The sequence below is a fragment of the Homo sapiens genome, chromosome 11, assembly GCF_000001405.40.
Source record: "Homo sapiens chromosome 11, GRCh38.p14 Primary Assembly".
NCBI lineage: Eukaryota > Metazoa > Chordata > Mammalia > Primates > Hominidae > Homo > Homo sapiens.
The window spans coordinates 107,695,410-107,714,222 of record NC_000011.10 but is presented as its reverse complement, the minus strand read 5'-3'; the positions used below and the strand labels follow the sequence as shown (position 1 = coordinate 107,714,222).

The following is an 18,813-nucleotide window of genomic DNA, read 5'->3' as shown; positions in this document are numbered from 1 at the left end:
CAAATAAGAAGTAGAATTTTTCTTCTAAGTTACTTTGAAATTGACCAATTCAACAAAATGACAACATTGGAGAGCTCTTTTGGTGATACGTTAACATTTCGCTATTGTATTTAACATTTTAAATATTGTAGAGCTAATTCATAATCTGAGATGTACAAAATAAATGCTTATCCCATAAACCTAATATCAACACATGATATACTACAAATAATTTGATTCCAAATGAATTAAGAAAAAAGGTTTTCAAGTTTCAGATTCTTTTACCAAAAATATCCTGGGAATTTGAGATTGTGCCTATGCAGCCTCAAACGGATGAATAAAAAGTAATGTAGGCCGGGCACCCGGTGGCTCACACCTATAATCCTAGCACTTTGGGAGGCTGAGGCGGTTGGATCACCTGAGGTCAGAAGCTCAAGGCCAGCCTGGCCAACATGGTGAAGCCCCATCTCTACTAAAAATACAAAAATTAGCCAGGCATAGTGGTGCATGCCTGTAATCCCAGCTACCCAGGAGGCTGAGGCAGGAGAATCGCTCGAACCCGGGAGGCGGAGGTTGCAGTGAGCTGAGATCACGCCACTGCACTCCAGCCTGGGTGACAAGAGCAAAACTCCATCTCAAAAGAAAAAAAAAGTAAAGTAAAGTTTTGTTTTTTTCCCCTTTGGGTGGTGAGATTAAAAGTAATTTAAAAGTTTTAAATACTTTAATATATTTTCACATGTCCTACAATAAATATATAACTTTTTTAATTTGACAAAAAATAATTTTGAGTGGTTACAAAAAGGGACAGGTGTGGCTTGGTAACTAGAAAAACATTCCCAGCCTGGGAAACAATCTAGTGAGAGCTTGGAGGCAGAAGACAGAACTCTGATTACATTCAAGGAGTTTGCCAGATGGCAACAGATAACTGCCAATGTTCGGTTGCACTATAATTATTATACACTCTCTGTCACTTCAGCAAGCGCTCTTTTCACAAGACAAGTGGTGACAGAATGTTGTATTAAGATTACCCGTTGCTAAGCTTATGTTAAAATGAGGAAATGAAATGGAAAGTCTTGTTTTGGTAATGTCTCTGGGGTATGAGGAATGGAGGGAAAGGTTTGACTATGAGCATAACTGCATAGAGAATTTTGTTTGTTTATGCCTTTTGGGAATGCATTATTTTGATTGACCCTAATTGGGAATTCAGAGGGGGAGATTTCCTCTATTATCTATAAAGAAAGGATCTGCTGAGCAAACACAATTGCTAGGGTCATGTTTAAAGTACTTAATTGATCTGCTTTCAAGTCTAATTTAACACTTCAGGGGCTCCAAACATGTGATACATTGGTTACAAACTCATCTTAGTCTAATTTTAGTTAGTGTTCATATTAGAAAGTTATATAATACTTTTCTTTCTTTCAGATATATTCTATAATTCACATTTTTCACTAATTTTACCCAGTTCTCCTTCCACTCCCAATCTATCCAAATAACTGAGTTGAACTGTGTGAGTTTACTGCTCTATTAATTTATTGCCAGAGATATACAAACCATGACTTCCTCGGCTGTTTCAGATGAAACTGTAGATCCACGTGTAAACTTGCAATGCACAGCTTAGCTGGAAAGTTACGTGGAGCAGGTGACGGAGGGGATAGCTTTCACTGCTTGGACTAAAGTCAGTTTTGAAAGAGCTAAAGATGCCTATTGAATTCTGGAGTGTGTGTGTGTGTGTATGGGTGTGCATATGTGTGGGTGTAAGGCAGCAAACTCTTCACATTTCAAATAACTAAAGATATGGGTGGTAAAATGAAGTCACATTTTTACACCTCACAGGCTGACTAGGGAGAGCAGTCAAATGCAGCATCGATTGGTTAAAATTAGTCTATCATTCTTGGTTTATGATGTTTTAAAGACATGTTAAAGTTATTCATGAAGATGTAAAAGACACATTTAAAACCCACATCAATTGCACTAAAAGTCAACTGGAAACAGAAGGTTTTTAAATCCTGGTGGTGGCAAATTGGCAGCCAAAGGAACAAAGTCTTAGTCAACATATTTCCATGTCCCCCGAACACAAATAGCCTCGAACCTTCGGAGGGTGTTCCTTTGAGATGTTTCATCAGTGACATCACAGTGATTGCCAGCTTCCACGGACTACTTTAGGCGCTGCCCAGAGTCCAGGAGTCCAGACAGCCTGGGAGGGGAGAAGGAGTTGGAGCTCAAGTTGGAGACAGCGAGGAGAAACCTGCCATAGCCAGGGTGTGTCTTTGATCCTCTTCAGGTAACTGCAGGATTTTTATGCTTAGCATACGGTGTGTGTGTGTGTACAAGCTGCAAATGAGAAAGGCAGAGGAATGTTTGCATTTCTTAATGAAATAGGCAATGCCCCTTGGATACAGCATGCCTTAAGATATAAAGTGAGTACTATTGCTTTCTGTTTTCCTTTTTTTTTCTCCTAAGGGTATGCATTTTCTCCCTTCCTAGTAAAAAAAAATTTTTTTTCTTTCTTGTATTATGGAAGATGGTCTTTTTTCTATCTTCTCTAAGTCTCCATTCAAAGAAAGCCAATGTCAAACTTCCTGCACAATTTATTCAGAGCTTTTTGGGTTTTAGTTCATCCATTTGCAATCACTGGATCATATGGCATGACCTTGACTTCAGGGAATGTTTAAAATGAAACCCAAAGTGTCTTTATTGGTTAAAAGCAGAAAAATGGAACTTGGCTGATCTGAATTTCTGCCTAACTGGTTCATTCTTCCTAAAGTGTATAAATGTGTGTGAAAGGAATGTTCACACCACACCTTACAGTTAGCATATGTGTTGATTGAATTGAATTCACTAGAAATTCTCACCTTAACTCTTCATGTTTTATTCATCTAAAATCACATAAAACAACAAATATTCAAGGTCACCATTAAAGTGCAAGAAGTAGTAAGAGGTAAATCCCAAGAAAGAAAGAAGTGTGATGGGTAGCCTGCTAATTCAGAAATGACTGAAAAAAAAAAAGTTAAGAGTGCATAAACATACACAGTTTAAACAATAACTGAAAGGCAACACTTCTATAATTATCATCCAGGTCAAGAAACAGATCATTGCCAGCACCCAGAAGCCCATTCTTGATCAACCCCCATTCTGCCCCAAGATGTTGGGATCCTCTTGTCCCTGTTATTCTTTATAATTTGACCATCTATGTCTGCATGCCTAAACAATATGATTAACCTCCCTATTTTTGACATCATATAAATGGAGTCATATTCTCTGTTTCTTTTGTAAATTCTTCTTTCACCCAACAATTATATTTGTGAGATCTACCCATTTTCTGTGTAGCTATAGTTCATATATTTTCTTTGCTTTATGAAATTCAAATGTATAACTATACCACAATTTATCATCCATTCTGCTGTTGATAAACATTTGAGTTGTTTCCAGTTTGGAGTTATTGTGATAATATTGCTGTGAACTCTTTATTTATGTAACCTGGCACGCACGTCCTTGACTGTCTTAAGGTAGAAGTGAAATGCCAGATATTAGAGAATGAACATTTTCAACATTAATTCTAAGAAAGCTAAATTGTTTTCCAAAGTGGTTGAAAATTTATGCTAACTTTGTTTAGCCAGGCCAGTTAATTGCAGTGACAATTCACTTGTGTCATAACTCCTAGGAATTCTAGTAACTAGTTCCAGTCTGCTAATTCTAGCTTTGCCTCTAACTTGTTATCTGTCATTACACAAACATCTTAATCTCCTCTCTCTAAAAGTCAGTTTCTCAGCTGTAATCTTGAGAAAGATAAAAACTGCAGTAACACTTGCCTGAGTTGTTGCGAAGGTAACACAAACAGAGCTGTGGAACAGCTTTCAATAGTATTTTTCTCATTTTCTGAGTATATCCTGTTGGATCACTATCCATGATTCCCATGACTTAACAGCTTAATTTAATAGGCAGATTTGGTGGGACCGTTGTTTTGCTCTCCTTGAATTGTTTTGACCATTATAAGCCAGGCTTCATATTTTCTGCTTATCTCTGCATTTCTTGAGAACTTACCCAAATAGATGGACATTTGGACTATGGTTTTATTTCATTGATAAGTTTATAAGAAAGAGTCTGTCTTCGTTTCTCATTCCTTTGCCTCCAGGCACCTTGGCAAGACTCATTACCGTTCTGTTCTCCTCTGCTCTTTTGTACATTCTCATAAATCCTTTTTCCTTGATCCATTCATTTTATTCTGTTTACTTTCTCCTCCATGCAAATCTTTGTAAAGATTTTCTATTTTTTCCCCTTTTTATTTTCTTGGAGAGACAGGGTCTTGCTGTGTTATCCAGGCTGGTCTTGAACTCCTAGGCTCAAGTGATCCTCCCACTCCAGCCTCCCAAAGGGCTGGGATTAGAGGCATGAGCCACCACGCCCAGCCATTTGTAATGGTTTTCATTGGCAATTTACTATTTCCTTCATGCTGAGGTCTAAAAGATGGATAATAATTAAAAGGGAGATGAAATATAAATCTGTCATCATTTGGCTATATATCTACTGGTTGGCACCATCTGATTTGAACTTGTATTTTTTTTTGAGACAGGGTCTCATTATGTTGCCTAAGCTGGTCTTAAACTCCTAGGCTCAAGGGATCCTCCCACCTCAGCTTCCCAATTAGCTAGGACTACAGGTACCGACTGCCATGCCTGGCTGAACCTGTATGTTATGCCAATTACACAATATGAAAAATGATCATTCAGTTGGCATTTATGCAATTAACAATTTGGTCCATTGATAATATAATCAATACAGTAATTACAATTAATAATTCAGTCATGCTAGATAGTTTAAAAATACCACTCAGACCAAAAGCTTGCTAACAACCCTTTCAGCCTCTTGAACTCTCACCTTTAGCAAACACACAAAATACCCTTTCTCCCTAAACTTTCACTCTACAGTAGACTTTGGTCCTAAATGTCTAAAACATAGATATCGAATTATCTAAAATATATAAATCTTTAATTTCATTTAGGCTGCATAAATAATGTGCAATTTACACCATCTCACTGAAGACAATAGTTTGATGACTTCATTGCACATGTTCTCAAAGTATGATTTCCTGTATGGACAATCTGTACATACTATGAAGATACCATCCCTGCTCTTTGAAATGTTTACAATCTAGGCACATCCTGGACCTGACTAAAAATAGCTGGCACAAGCCCTTGTTGAAACCGAAGTACCCATGAAGTTAACACTTGCTCTTTCGGCTGAATGCCTGTTATGCCAGGGGCTTTTGGTTGATCCCAGTAGGCTATGTGCCCAATGCAGGACTTGTCAGAGGCCATGCAGCTGTTGAAAGTACTTTCTGCTTTCCGTAGAGTTAGATGAAGACCTACAGCAGCCTGAGGCCTGAAAGATTATGGCATCCCACTTATCTATGTAATTCAAAGCAAGAACAATACTAAACCATAAAATTTTTTTGTTTTGGTACCCCTGCTTATTGATACTCTTAAGAAAAGTATACACATGCATACGCACACACGCAAACACACACAGAAGTTGGAGAAAGAAAAATGTAATATTTCACATTTTATGAAAAGCACCAATACGATCATCACAGGAAAAAAGTCAGGACAAAAATGGTGGTCTTTATGACATCAGGCAGAGAAATCAGGCTCTCTCTCTGTAATCATTAGGGCTCTTCAGAGAAACATAACTAATAGAATGTGTTGTGTTGAGGGGATTGGTGTCTGTTTTTAAGGAATTGGCTTGTGCGATTGCAGAGACTGGCAAGTCCAAAATCTGCAGGGTGGGCTGGTAGGCTGGAGACTTAGGGAAGTCTCCAGTCCAAAGACTGTCAGGAGGCTACATGTCCCAGATCAAGGTGTTGGCACAGTTGGTTTCTTCTGAGTCCTTTCTTTGGCTTGTAAATGCCCATCTTCTCCTTGTGTTTTCACATGGTCTTCCCCTCTGCATGTGTCTGTGTCCTAATCTCTTCTGATAAAGACACTAGTCATATTGGATTAGGGCCCTCCTTAATTACCTAATTTTAACTTATTTACCTCTTAAAAGACCCTATCTTCAAACACAGTCACATTCTGAGATACTGTGAGCTAGGGCTTTGACATGTAGATTTTTGGGGGACACAATTTAGCCCATCACACTCTCCTTTTCCACAACACTTCTGTTTCCTTTGAGGAAAGAACGAGCATTGTTATACAGGAATGCCCATTAATCTCCTTGTGTTTTCTTTGTTATGTTTTATCAGGAGGTGAGGAGAAGCCAGAGGTCCTTGGTGTGCCCTCAGAAATCTGCCTGCAGTTCTCACCAAGCCGCTGTGAAAATGGGGATAAACACCCGGGAGCTGTTTCTCAACTTCACTATTGTCTTGATTACGGTTATTCTTATGTGGCTCCTTGTGAGGTCCTATCAGTACTGAGAGGCCATGCCATGGTCCTGGGATTGACTGAGATGCTCCGGAGCTGCCTGCTCTATGCCCTGAGACCCCACTGCTGTCATTGTCACAGGATGCCATTCTCCATCCGAGGGCACCTGTGACCTGCACTCACAATATCTGCTATGCTGTAGTGCTAGGATTGATTATGTGTTCTCCAAAGATGCTGCTCCCAAGGGCTGCCAAGTGTTTGCCAGGGAACGGTAGATTTATTCCCCAACTCTTAACTGAAAATGTGTTAGACAAGCCACAAAGTTAAAATTAAACTGGATTCATGATGATGTAGGATTGTTACAAGCCCCTGATCTGTCTCACCACACATCCCTTCAACCCACACGGTCTGCAACCAAACTCTAATTCAACCTGCCAGAAGGAATGTTAGAGGAAGTCTTTGTCAGCCCTTATAGCTATCATGTGAATAAAGTTAAGTCAACTTCAAAAACAACTTCTAGAACTTATTTTAGCTTCCATGTGTGACAGAGCATTTGACCCTTGGCTGGGATTGGAGTGACAAGTGCTACCGTATTTCTAGCATTTGAGGTAAGCCAAGATGCTCCAACTGCTGAAGATTTGAAACCAAGTCAACACACTGTGTCATATTTCAAGTAATTCCATTGGTTCAGCGCTCCTCAAACTTTTCCCCTAAACTAGTCTGAAGGGCAGAGGGAGAATAAATCCATTCCACTACGGGGTCTGAAGCACAGGCTGAATTGCTGGCTAAAAGTGCAACATTTCTTTGAAGTCTTGTGTTTTATCTTTAGAATCCACAAGAAATGTATTTTCTATCTTATAATATCTTCATGTTTGTTTTCATATAAATATTTAAAATTATTTACACTAAGTAACACAAGAACATGAGTCATGTCCCTAAGAGTAGCATAGTCTATTTTGATTATTGTTATTACACAAATGGAGCTAGTCTTTAATCAACTACAGTTCTAAAAGGAGGAAAATAGAAAATGCAAACTTATATGTTTATAAAAGACATATAAAATAGATGTTTCTTAAACGTGTTGCCTGAACACCCCATGTTAGACAGAACAAATTTGCTATTTGTGCTGAGGTAACCATGGAGAAAGGGAATGTTGTTAAACCTCATCTTACATAGCCGCCTTCATGAAGGCATTTCTTGCCAAGAATTTGACCTGTCATTGAGGCATTGACTACATCACATTATAGTTCTTAACCTTTGGCTGCATTCAAAGAAAGTCAATTATCCCAGGGGTGATTTTTCAAAATACTGAGGCTGGGTCCTTCTCAGACCAATTAAATAAAAATCCCAGGGGATAGAGCCCAAGTATCTATCTTTTTAAAATATCTTCTAGATGATTACACTGTGTAGCCAGAATTGAGAATCACTGATACCAACCCTTGCTTCTCAAAATTTGATGTGATTGTGAATTACTGGGAAGTCTCATTTAAACGCAGATTCTAATTCCATTCTAATTCTGATTCAGTCTGGGGTGGGGCCTGAGAGCCTACATTTTGGACAAGCTCCTAAGTGATGCCAGTGCTGCCCTTCCAGACTGCTACCCTTGGATTAACATATTAGAATCACTTGGGGGGACCCTTAGCAAAACCACGCAAGCTTGAGCCCCATTCCTAGCCATTTCTAATTTATTCGGCCTTGGGTGAACCTGAATGTTATTCTTTTTTTCGAAGAAGTCCAGGTGACACTAATGTGCAGCCAGGATTAAGAATCCTCAAATAGCTAAAGAAAAAATGTTATATTTTGAGAGGTTCCTCTCCAAATTGGGAAATAGCAGCATATAGTCCTCAATGCGTTGTCCCTAACTTCAGTTAGACTACACATATGGATGTGCAACTGCTAATGATTTAGTAGGCAGCATATGTACTCACAGACTTGTGGCTCTAGGGCCCTCAGTAGACGGTTAGCCGTCTTTCCCCTATTTGCAGAAAACCTACTGTTTGTGTATGTGTTTGAGAAAGTGTGTGTGTGTGTGTGTGTGTGTGTGTGTGTGTGTGTGTTGGGGAGAGCCACAACATTCCCTTCAGATGTTGGACCATCTGGCCTTTCACAGAAATCTGAGTGATGGTGCCAACACTGACAACAGGTACCATTTATTGAGTCTACCGTATATGAAGCCCTGTTCTGGGCACTTTCCATAACTCATGCCATTTAGCAGATTTGGGAACTGAGGATCAGAGACTTCACTAAACAGATGTGAGTGGGGAAGCCACAATGAGAAAAGGATCATCTTAACCTCTATGGGGAACTGAGTACAAATCATGCTTTGTTATAGATCTCCAAACCATTGGATTATGCTTTAGGTTTTACCCTCACATTCTTTAGTATTCTAAAATATCAGCCTGTTTCGATCAAGGTAACAATTGCAGTACTCTATGTCATTTCTTTTTGCCTGTTAATCCTCACTCCTTTCTTTCTCTAACTTCCTGTGACTGAATCTACTGAGAGGGCCCATTTTTAGACCACATTGTGAGCAATCTTTGCAGGTATAGGATATCCATTAACAACTTTAGTGGTGGGGCTAGGAATTATGTAATGTCTTTCACATTCAGGAGTCCTAGTCATTATGGCTAAATCCCAGTCTGACTCATAAGTCTCCTTTATGTACAAACTTCCCTATGACCTCAAGTACCCTGATTCATCACAGAACTCTGCGTCCCTCAATGTTGGCTCCATCCACTGAAACGCTGCCTGATTATCCCAAACAAGATGCTAGTTCTCTAGAACCAGAGCACTGAATCCTAGTTATTAACTGAAGTTCCAGCTCATAGACTTGATCCTACTCTGGCTTTTTTCTCTTGCATTCATTCATTCATTCAACAAGTACTTATTATGAAACTAAGTGCTGGGCATTTACTAGACACTGGAGATAAAATGGCGAGAAAGCCAAGCCCCATTCTCATGGAGCATACCATTTAGTGGGGTAGACAGATATGTTAAATGGGTAGTTATAATGGTGTGAAAAGTTCTTTGACAAGATAAGGATAAGGTGCTGTTGAAGGAGATTCCAGGCAGAAGGAATAGCAGGAATGAAAAACCAAAAGCTAGAGAGGATGGCGAATTTAGGTGTAGTTGAAGCACACAGCATCTCTCCAGCCACTGGCAGTAGTCATGCCACATAAGAGCAGATCTCACAATTCTGTCACGTTGCTCTGACTTCCAAGTTGAATCATTTCTGAGATTCTTGCTGGCATGCCTTATGCACTGAGGGGGCCCTTTGCCACCAACAGTTGTTTGAGTCATGTCTGTGCTTACATATAACTTAGACACTGGCCTAGGGCTGTCCTATCACTTGTGTCCACAGCAGCCAGACTGGCTCTTCCCGTTTACCATCTCACCCCATTGAGCAGTTCTCTGTTGGGTGATGTTCTCCTCTTCTTGCCATAAGTCCTGGGATTCCAAGATTCCAGCCTGTATTGGCATTGAGCTGCCCACTTTACCATACCAACCAACCAACCATCTGATTTTTTTTAAAAAGGCATCTTTCAGTGCTAACTTAGACTTTCCTTCCAGTCTTCTCTAAACTCACTACTAAGGTGTACATCCTTTGGACCTTCTTGTTTTTATCTAACTATTCTCTTACACTGAAATACACATACTTTTTATTCATTTCTGGCAGTCTCAACACCATAACTGGTCCCCAACTCCTCTTCCTGGGGCTGCCATATAGTTGGCTCCATAAGGCATAAGAAATTATCCAGATAATTCATGTCCCAAGCCGTGGCTCTAAGAAAAGAGACTCAAGATACGCCAACCTGATCAGCATCCATAATCACATTTCCATCTTTGCTTCATGGACCCACATGGGGTGTGCAAAAATGGTCACAAAATGGTAGTGCTTCCATTGTTCTCTAATTTAATTTAGGGCATCTCAAGGGGACAGCCCTTTCTTTACTTTTACTATTCCTTTATCATTTTGCTGTCGCTTTTGCTTCACTGGAACACAGTCTTTCTACCATTCTTGCCTGCCCCACAGGCATTTTGGTGCATAATCAATGCCATTTCTAGATGGCATCCCTGGACCTTTCCTTAGCAGGCTGGGTATGTCTGTTACCACCTTGAAATCTCATTACCCAGAATCCTGTCCTGAATGCCTAGAGTACCCCCGGAAAGTAGTTAGTGACAAATTAAACTGGTTCTGTTCCCTTTTCCTCTGAATATGTTATCTATCATTCTTTCAGTAGATCTAGTTTATCATTTCCTGTTTTCAGAATGTTTTTTAAAACTTTGGCACAGAAGACCCTTCTTAGCGGATCCAGGTCTACCTGTAGCCTCTCCTCTGTTTACCTGTCCCCCACGCCCTACCTCCACTCTCATTTCCAACCATTTCCTACTATTTGTGGTTTTCAATCATGCTATGCTGTCTTCTACTGTGGGGTCCTTGCATAGCTATTCTCTTTGCCATTAAGTGTTATTACCCCAAAAGTTATCCCCAGATAATTTCCTTCTCTGGGCCTCATGCCTAAACTCTCATAGCATTTATCACATTGTATTGGTTTGTTTGTCTCTCCCATGTGCAATTCTTGTTTATGGGGACTGTCTTCAATGTTTAATTTTAGTTTCTAGCTGGTCCGTCATAATCACTAGATAAGTATCTGTTGAACATGTCAGTGACTATTTGGCTAGATGTAAAAACTTTTGGAATAGACATGTACCTATTTCTATGACTAGGTTCATGATCTGTGTTCACCACAGTATAATAAAAAGGAGGCATAAAAAGTTCCAGTTCTAAAGTTCTATTAGGTTAATGAGAGAACCAAACTTCTTTTTAAACTTTAGGCAGTTGAAACAGTTGTTCCAAAGGCAGTTTGCTCTTTATGAAAAATTCATGATGCTTGCTTCTTTTGATCTGTCTCTATCGCCACCCTGAACAAGTTGACAATGTTTATGAATTACTCATCAAAGCCCAATGTGTTGAGCATGTTTATGAGTTCGTCTACAAACAGGGTGAAACCAGAGAAATTTCCACTTTTCAAACTGTAGAAAGTTAAGGTCAAACTTCATGTACACACACCATATTTAAACAAACTTTACTACATGCCTCCTGTATGTGAGGCACTTTTATGTGTTCTATTTTACTCAATTCCCTTTTATATTGTGAAGTATTTATCTTCATTTGTACCTTAAAAGTGAGAAGCCTGAGGCTCAGAAAGGACAAGTGGCCAAGCATAAAACACAAAGCTGAGAGGCAAACCCAGTTCTCTCCAATTCTGAGAGCTGGCTCTTCCCAGTCACCACGGTTGCCCTTCTGGGCTCTTCCCAGTCACCACGGTTGCCCTTCTGCATCACTCTAGGGCACAAGCACCTTTCCTTATTCTGGGCTGAAAGAGCCAAAATATGTGTATGTCAGAAGCCTCCAGGTAAATGCCTCAATCGCTGCGGCTCAATCATACATGGTTGGCAACTTACACAATTCTGTGTTTCCCAGGACTTTGAAACAAGCCCTGAAATCACCTCGTCTTTGTCAGTCAACTGAGCAGTAGATAATAAGAGAGAGGAGTATTGATGGTTGATTAGCTGTTTTCAGTGTGTCAGTTTTATACGTGGGGATTAAGTGGAAATGACAGCTCCATCTACAGCATTAGCTGGTTACACACACTTGCAGGAATTTGTCACATGGTAATTGTCATCTCCCACCCATTAGATCATTTTAAAATAAAGCACTGGAAAAAAGCATGGTCTTTGGATTCACAGGCTATATTTTGCTTACTAATACGTGATCCCAGATAAGTTACTGAACTTTTGTGAACCTCAATTTCCCTAGCTATAAAAGTAGAAGATAACAGTAAGTATGAACAACTATTATGTATCAATTAAAAAAATAGAGAATAATACCTTTTTTGCAGGATCACTGTGTTAAGTTAGGTGATATTTTCAAAGTGCTTAGCACAATGCCTGGCATTAGCAAATGCTCAATAAATGGTAGTTAATCTTGTTATAACATAAGCAAAGTACGATATTTGATACATAGCCTCACTTTTAAAAAGAAGTGTTAGATTTTAGTACTTTTTTTGTTTTGTTTTGTTTTTGAGACAGAGTCTCACTCTGTCACCCAGGCTAGAGTGCAGTGGCACGATCTCAGCTCACTGCAACTTCTGCCTCCTGTGTTAAAGCGATTCTCCTGCTTCAGCCTCCCGAGTAGCTGGGATTACAGGCATGCACCATGACGCTGGCTAATTTTTGTATTTTTAGTAGAGACGGGGTTTCACCATGTTGGCCAGGCTGGTCTAGAACTCCTGACCTCAAGTGATCCTCCTGCTTTGGCCTCCCAAAGTGCTGGGGTTACAGGCGTGAGCCACCATGCCCAGCCAAAGATTTTAGTACACTTTTAAAGAAAGCATCAAGGATTGGTGGTGGGGTGGTGGTTGCTGCTGCTGCTATTTCAACACTATTTCTTCTAAGAGGATAATAAAACACTTTGAGAAAGTTGTGGCTTCTTTTTTTCTTTCTTTAGCAGGGGAAAGGGATAGGGATACTGAATTGTAGAATCCCTTTGCTCATGAAGAATACAATGTATTTCTCAAAATGCAAGAACTACTTGAATTACAATACTCAAAATACTTTTTCAATTGCAGATTCCTGCACCAACTCCAGAACTACTGCCAGGGAACTTCTGAGAGTGGGATCTGGCTTGCTATGTTTTAAGCCAGCTCCCCAGGTGATTGTTATAGTCACTAAAGTTTGAGAATCCCAGATCTACAACATCCTCCCGCACCAGCACCCAAGATTTGCATTTCTGCTCTTTTTTTTTTTCTTTCAGACAGGAGTCTTACTTTGTTCCCCAGGCTGGAGTGCAGTGGTAAGATCACGGCCCATTGCTGCCTTCACCTCCTGGGCCCAGGCGATCTTCCCACCTCAGCCTCCCCAGTAGCTGGGACCACAAACATGCACCACCACACCTGGCTAATTTTTGTATTTTTTTTTTTTTTTTTTTGTAGGGATGGATTCTCCCTGTGTTTTCCAGGCTGGTCTCAAATTCCTGGGCCCAAGTGATTCTACCGCTTCAGCCTCCCAAAGTGCTGGGATCATAGGAGCAAGCCATAGCTCCCAGCCCTGCATTTCTACTGTTTTCAAGAACTTGGGCTCTGGTTGGACTGAGAAGTTCACAAAATTCCACTTTTCCGGAGAGGTTGCAAAATTCTTACCCCCATCCCTTTGAACTGCAAAAGTACATTCTTTATCTTCCCATCTCTCCAGGAAAAGCTTTCCTTGCACCCTTTACCCCCATTCCTAGTCTGTTCCCACACTGGGTCTTTATTCTCTCCCAAACAAGTTTGCCCTGTTGTACTTGGAGATTCAAACCCTGTCTACGATGCCACTTAATAAAAGTTATTTTTTAAACCTGAAGTTATATAGTGTATTAACTTGTATGCAAGAGTTCTATTTTGACATATTTTCAATGAAGATGCTGGAACTGTCATTCCAATTTTAATGGCTTTACAGATATTAAACATCAATAGGTGTTTCCAAATTATGTCTCCTTTTGGCTTTCACTTTTCCGGGCAGTCAGATTACACCCAAGGATTAAAAATCAGCATAAAACAGTCTCTACTTTAGACCTCAGACTTAAAAAATTCCGAATCTTGTGACTTTCTCTCTGGGAAAGTAAGTAAAAAATGAGTTTTCTCAACAGCAGCAATTCCAGCCAGGGTCTGCATGATAAGATATCTGTCTCGGGGCAGTGTTCACAGGTTCCAGCCAATACTGCCTGATCCAGATCCAACTGTGAGCTGTCTCTCTTCCAACAACATACTCATTTTATATTCCTCTGACACTGCTTCAAAAAGGACATGGAGAAAGAAGTCTATTTTCAACACATGCTGTGTCTACAATGATGACATGCATGGTGATACCCACCACCCACATCACAAACACCCTGCCAAGTCCTAAGCTAATTCGACTTCACAATGGCAAGCTTTTCAGATGCCCAGAGGTTTTATGGTGATTATTTGACGATTCAACACGAAAGCAGCTCCTGTTGTTTGCCACATCCACACTGAGCTTTCCATTCATTCAGAATGACAAGGCATTCATAGCGTCTCGCAATCAATTTTGAGATGTCTCTGTGAGTGAAAGAGCTCCATTGGCAACATTGCAAGGCCCTTTTTGTAAGTCACCATTTCCATCCCTACCCCATCCTGTCAGAATGACTGGGGTCACATTCATATTGCAGACCAGCAGAATCAGTGGGAAGCCGAACTTGGAAGATTGGATTTGATCTCATGCATCATACTATCTTGATTTTGGAAATGAGAGACAGTCACATGCAATTTGAGAGACTGCCAACCTGAGACACATTTTGAATTATACCATATGTCACTGGCTTTAAGCATGGTTTCAGACCAGTTCATTTTGAATGACACTCGCGGTGGCTCACGCCTGTTATCCCAGTACATTGGGAGGCCGAGGCTGGCAGATCACGAGGTTACGAGATTGAGACCATCCTGGCTAACACGGTGAAACCCCGTCTCTACTAAAAATACAAAAAATTAGCCGGGCGCGGTGGCGGGCACCTGTAGTCCCAGCTACTTGGGAGGTTGAGGCAGGAGAATGGCGTGAACCCGGGAGGCGGAGCTTGCAGTGAGCCGAGATCGCGCCACTGCACTCCAGCGTGGGCAACAGAGCGAGACTCTGTCTCAAAAAAAAAAAAAAAAAAAAAAAAAAAAAAAATCACAGGCCAGGAATGGGGGCTCACGTCTGTAATCCTAGCACTTTGGAAGGTCCAGCTGGGAGGATTGCTTGAGTTCAGGAGTTCAAGACCAGCCTGGGCAACATAGTGAGACCTCATCTCTATTTTTTTTAATTAAAAAATTTTTTAAAAAAGAAAGGGCACATCTCAGACATGTAATACGACTAATGATTAGTCTCTGAGCCATACAGCATTCTGCTCCTGAGAAAGATGTACATAGTGAAATAAATGTATTTCCCTTGAAGACCTCTGTATGTGGTTTCATCTTGTCTTTTTCATCTTTTCCTAGTATTTTCAGTGTCATAGATATGTTTATTCTGATGCCACAATGGCTGATGTGAACTTTCAGCTGAGGCTGTATTTAATCTGCAATTAATTCTCTGAAATCAAAGGACATCCTTTTTATCTGCAGTGAAAAGGTAAAGCAAGCCCAATTCTTCAGACCTAGCTGTACAAACCACATGGACACTTATCTGTGGAGATAAGAATGAAGGTATATCTCTGCTGGTAGAAAATGACGTATTATTACCTGACAGCAGGACATATATTTAGATAAGCATCATTTTTGATTTGCACTTCAAAGCTGGCTAATGTTCTTTTGAATATTATTTATGATGATTTGAAAAAGACATACCAGAAGAGTTTTTTGTTGTTGTTGTTGTTGTTAATCTGGGTGCCAATCAAAAAAGAACTCAACCAGCCGGGTGCGGTGGCTCATGTGTGTAATGCCAGCACTTTGGGAGGCCGAGGCGGGTGGATCACAAGGTCAGATCGAGACCATCCTGTCCAACATAGTGAAACCCCATCTTTACTGAAATACAAAAAATTAGCTGGGTGTGGTGGTGCGCAGCTGTAGTCCCAGGTACTCGGGAGGCTGAAGCTGGGGAATTGCTTGAACCCGCGGGAGGCGGAGGTTGCAGTGAGCTGAGATTGTGCCACTGCACGCCAGCTTGGCGACAGAGCGAGACTCTGTCTCAAACAAAACAGAAACAAAAAACAAAACAAAACAAAACAAAAACTCAGCCTTGAAATATGAGTTGTTCTAAGTTACAATACTATTTAATTGTAAATTATTATAACCCTTCATTATAGTGTCTTATATTTTCTGGGAAGAGACAAATTTATTCAAATTTTGTTTGGCTGGAGTTTCCTTGAAGCTATCAGGGCTCTTTGGCTAAGTGATATTAGATTCTAGCCATGTTTATGAAATCATTCTTTCATCATCAACACCGACCTCTTTCATTAATAAAAACTTCTTGGTCATATTTCATAACTTTTTTTTTTTAAGAGACAGGGTTTTGCTATGTTGGCTAGGCTGGATTCAAACTCCTGGGCTTGAGCTGTTCTCCTGCCTCAGCCTCCTGAGTAGCTGGGACTATAGTTACACACCACCACACCTAACTACTTCATAACTTTTAGTTTTTTGGGTTTTTTTGAGACAGGGTCACTTTGTCACCCAGGCTGGAGTGCAGTGGCATGATCATGGCTCACTGCAACCTTGACCTCCTGCGCTCAAGTGATCCTTCCACCTCAGCCTCCAGAGTAGCTGGGACGACAGGCGTGTGCCACCAGACTCAGCTAATTTTTGTAATTTTTGTAGAGATGGGGTTTCGCCATGTTTCCCAGGCTGATCTTAAATTCCTGAGCTCAAGTGATCTGCCCTCCTCAGCATTCCAAAGTGCTGGGATTACAGGCATGAGCCACTGTGCCCAGCCTAATCTTACTGTTCTATGACTATAAAATACTTGAGATCAAGGTCTCTGTAGCCATATTTGTGTTATTGAGGTTGATGAAGAAATCGAGGGGAAAAGAAGAGAAAGAGTGAGGTCTATCGCTGCCTCTTTTAATGTGGTAGAACTTTTTGTCTTATAGAAAGCGTGGAGCCTTTTTAAATGAATGCTTCACACTGGACATCACCCAGTGGTACTTAAACTAGACTACATGATGTAGGCACAAGTTTCAATAGAGAGTAGGAGAGATACCTCCACAATATGTGGGCTTAATTTCAAGCACAGGGAGTAATTGTCTCCTACCAGACCTCCAATAAGGTTTCCAGACTGTTCCAGCTAGAGGAGATTTCAAAGATACTAGGTTCAACAGTGAGATTTTATAGGGGTGGGGGACAGGGTTAGAGAAGTTACACAACTACCCATGTTTTGTTCGTGGCAATGCTGGGGTGACAAGCCAGATCCCCTGATGTTTAGACCAATGTGTTTCCAAGTGGCAACTCTATTAAATTGGATTTCTTTATGGAATCTGTCTTCACAGCTCTCGGGTGGGGGAAAAAAAAGCAAAATATGGTTCCTTTTGTCTGTGGCCCAAAGACTGTATCCCATTCCACACATATATAATTGGAAGTGTTTAATTGTGTGGCTACCCATGACCAGGTTTCTCTTTTATAGGCTGGAAAATGTATTGACACTTGTCCTGGCTGGATATCCAGGTATTTTTTTACTAAAGATTCAGCTTCTAGTAGTGCAGTTACTTGAAAAAGGGTGGGCTCAGGGGTGCTGGAATCAGAAGCCTTCTGAATCTCTCAGAATCTTTCTAATGTCTGTTTAGTGATAGACACTTTAGCCATCATTAAGGCTGGAAGTGGAAAGGAAATATCAGCAAGGGTTGAAATTTTAGCTGTGGAGAGGAATAAGTGCTTCTATGACCTCTAAGTTTCCCTACAATGTAATATCATTGGATGGTTTCCTTAAGAACTTTATTTACAACTCTCAGATGCTAAAACCAGCTGCTTACAGATATCTTTCCTATCTTTCCCTACTCTCAAGGAACATGATCTAAACATGAGTCATCACAGGCACCAAGATCTTGGCTAGAAAATCTTCCTAGTGACACGTATCCTATTCTCTGAGAGTTGCCAAAGGAATTCTTTCCATAGCTTCTTCCTCAGAACAGAGGCAATAGGGCATAGTGGAAAAAGATGGACTTTGGCAACAATTAATTAATCCTGAGCAAGCCACTTATTAGTGTTTGACCTAACACAAGTAAATTAAACTCCATGAGCCACACTTTTCTCATCTAAATATAGAAATAATGCTACCTATCTCAGAAAGTAATGGAAGAAGTAGAAATGGTGAATATAAAAATACACACAAAGTACAAAACATAGTAGAATCTAGGTAAATGATAACATTTAAACATAATTTTTAGGTTACATTGGGCTAATACTATGGAACCCCAACTTCTGTATAAGATAAGCTTTTGAGAGTTTATTGCCCCCCACCAAGTCCTAAACACTGACCGGTGCATGTGTGTGTATTGGGAGTAGGGAGTTGGTTGAGAGAAGACAAAACAAGACAATGATTCTCATCTTTTAACTAAAATGTTAGTATTCTTTTTCATCTTTCTCTTTCTCATTCATTGCTTTCTCATTTCCTTTTAAAAAATACTTTTAAAACAAAAAATATATATCAATACCTTCTTGTTTAAAAATGTGAACAGAAGCATCTTTGTCATTCCTTTTTTCTGACTGGGAAGAGTCGAAATAGCTGATGCTATAGAGATGAAATGCTAGCAAGTAAACAAGGCTGGCTCTTCCTGTTAGAAGTCAAAATTGTCTTAAGTACTCTTGCATATTAACTTTTACAAATGAAGTTTAGAATCAGTTTTTCAAATTTTGTAAAAAGCCCTTTGGGATTTTGATTTGAATTACATTGAATTTTAAGTTAGTTTCAAGAGAATTATCACCATTAAAAGATCAAATATTTCCAGTAATGAATG

General features: G+C 40.1%; 1 protein-coding gene across 1 annotated transcript, besides 1 other annotated feature; it reads left to right on the top strand.

The window, feature by feature from the left end:
* The first annotated feature begins 2,166 nt into the window (after window positions 1-2,166).
* Window positions 2,167-6,845, top strand: SLN (sarcolipin). Its single transcript, NM_003063.3, has 2 exons — window positions 2,167-2,260; window positions 6,218-6,845. Exon 2 carries the CDS (start codon window positions 6,293-6,295, stop codon window positions 6,386-6,388), a length of 96 nt encoding a protein of 31 aa, NP_003054.1. The 5' UTR covers window positions 2,167-2,260; window positions 6,218-6,292; the 3' UTR covers window positions 6,389-6,845.
* Window positions 5,707-6,498: an enhancer, noted in NCBI's record as "OCT4-NANOG hESC enhancer chr11:107578451-107579242 (GRCh37/hg19 assembly coordinates)". NCBI's record gives its function as "activates a minimal SCP1, AML or CMV promoter by ChIP-STARR-seq in primed H9 embryonic stem cells {active_cell/tissue: H9 hESC(primed)}" and the evidence as "EXISTENCE:reporter gene assay evidence [ECO:0000049][PMID:30033119]".
* Window positions 6,846-18,813: the final 11,968 nt, after the last annotated feature.

Excerpts from the sequence above, each read along its gene's own strand:
- SLN (NM_003063.3), top strand. The coding sequence starts at position 6,293 with ATGGGGATAAACACCCGGGAGCTGTTTCTCAACTTCACTATTGTCTTG.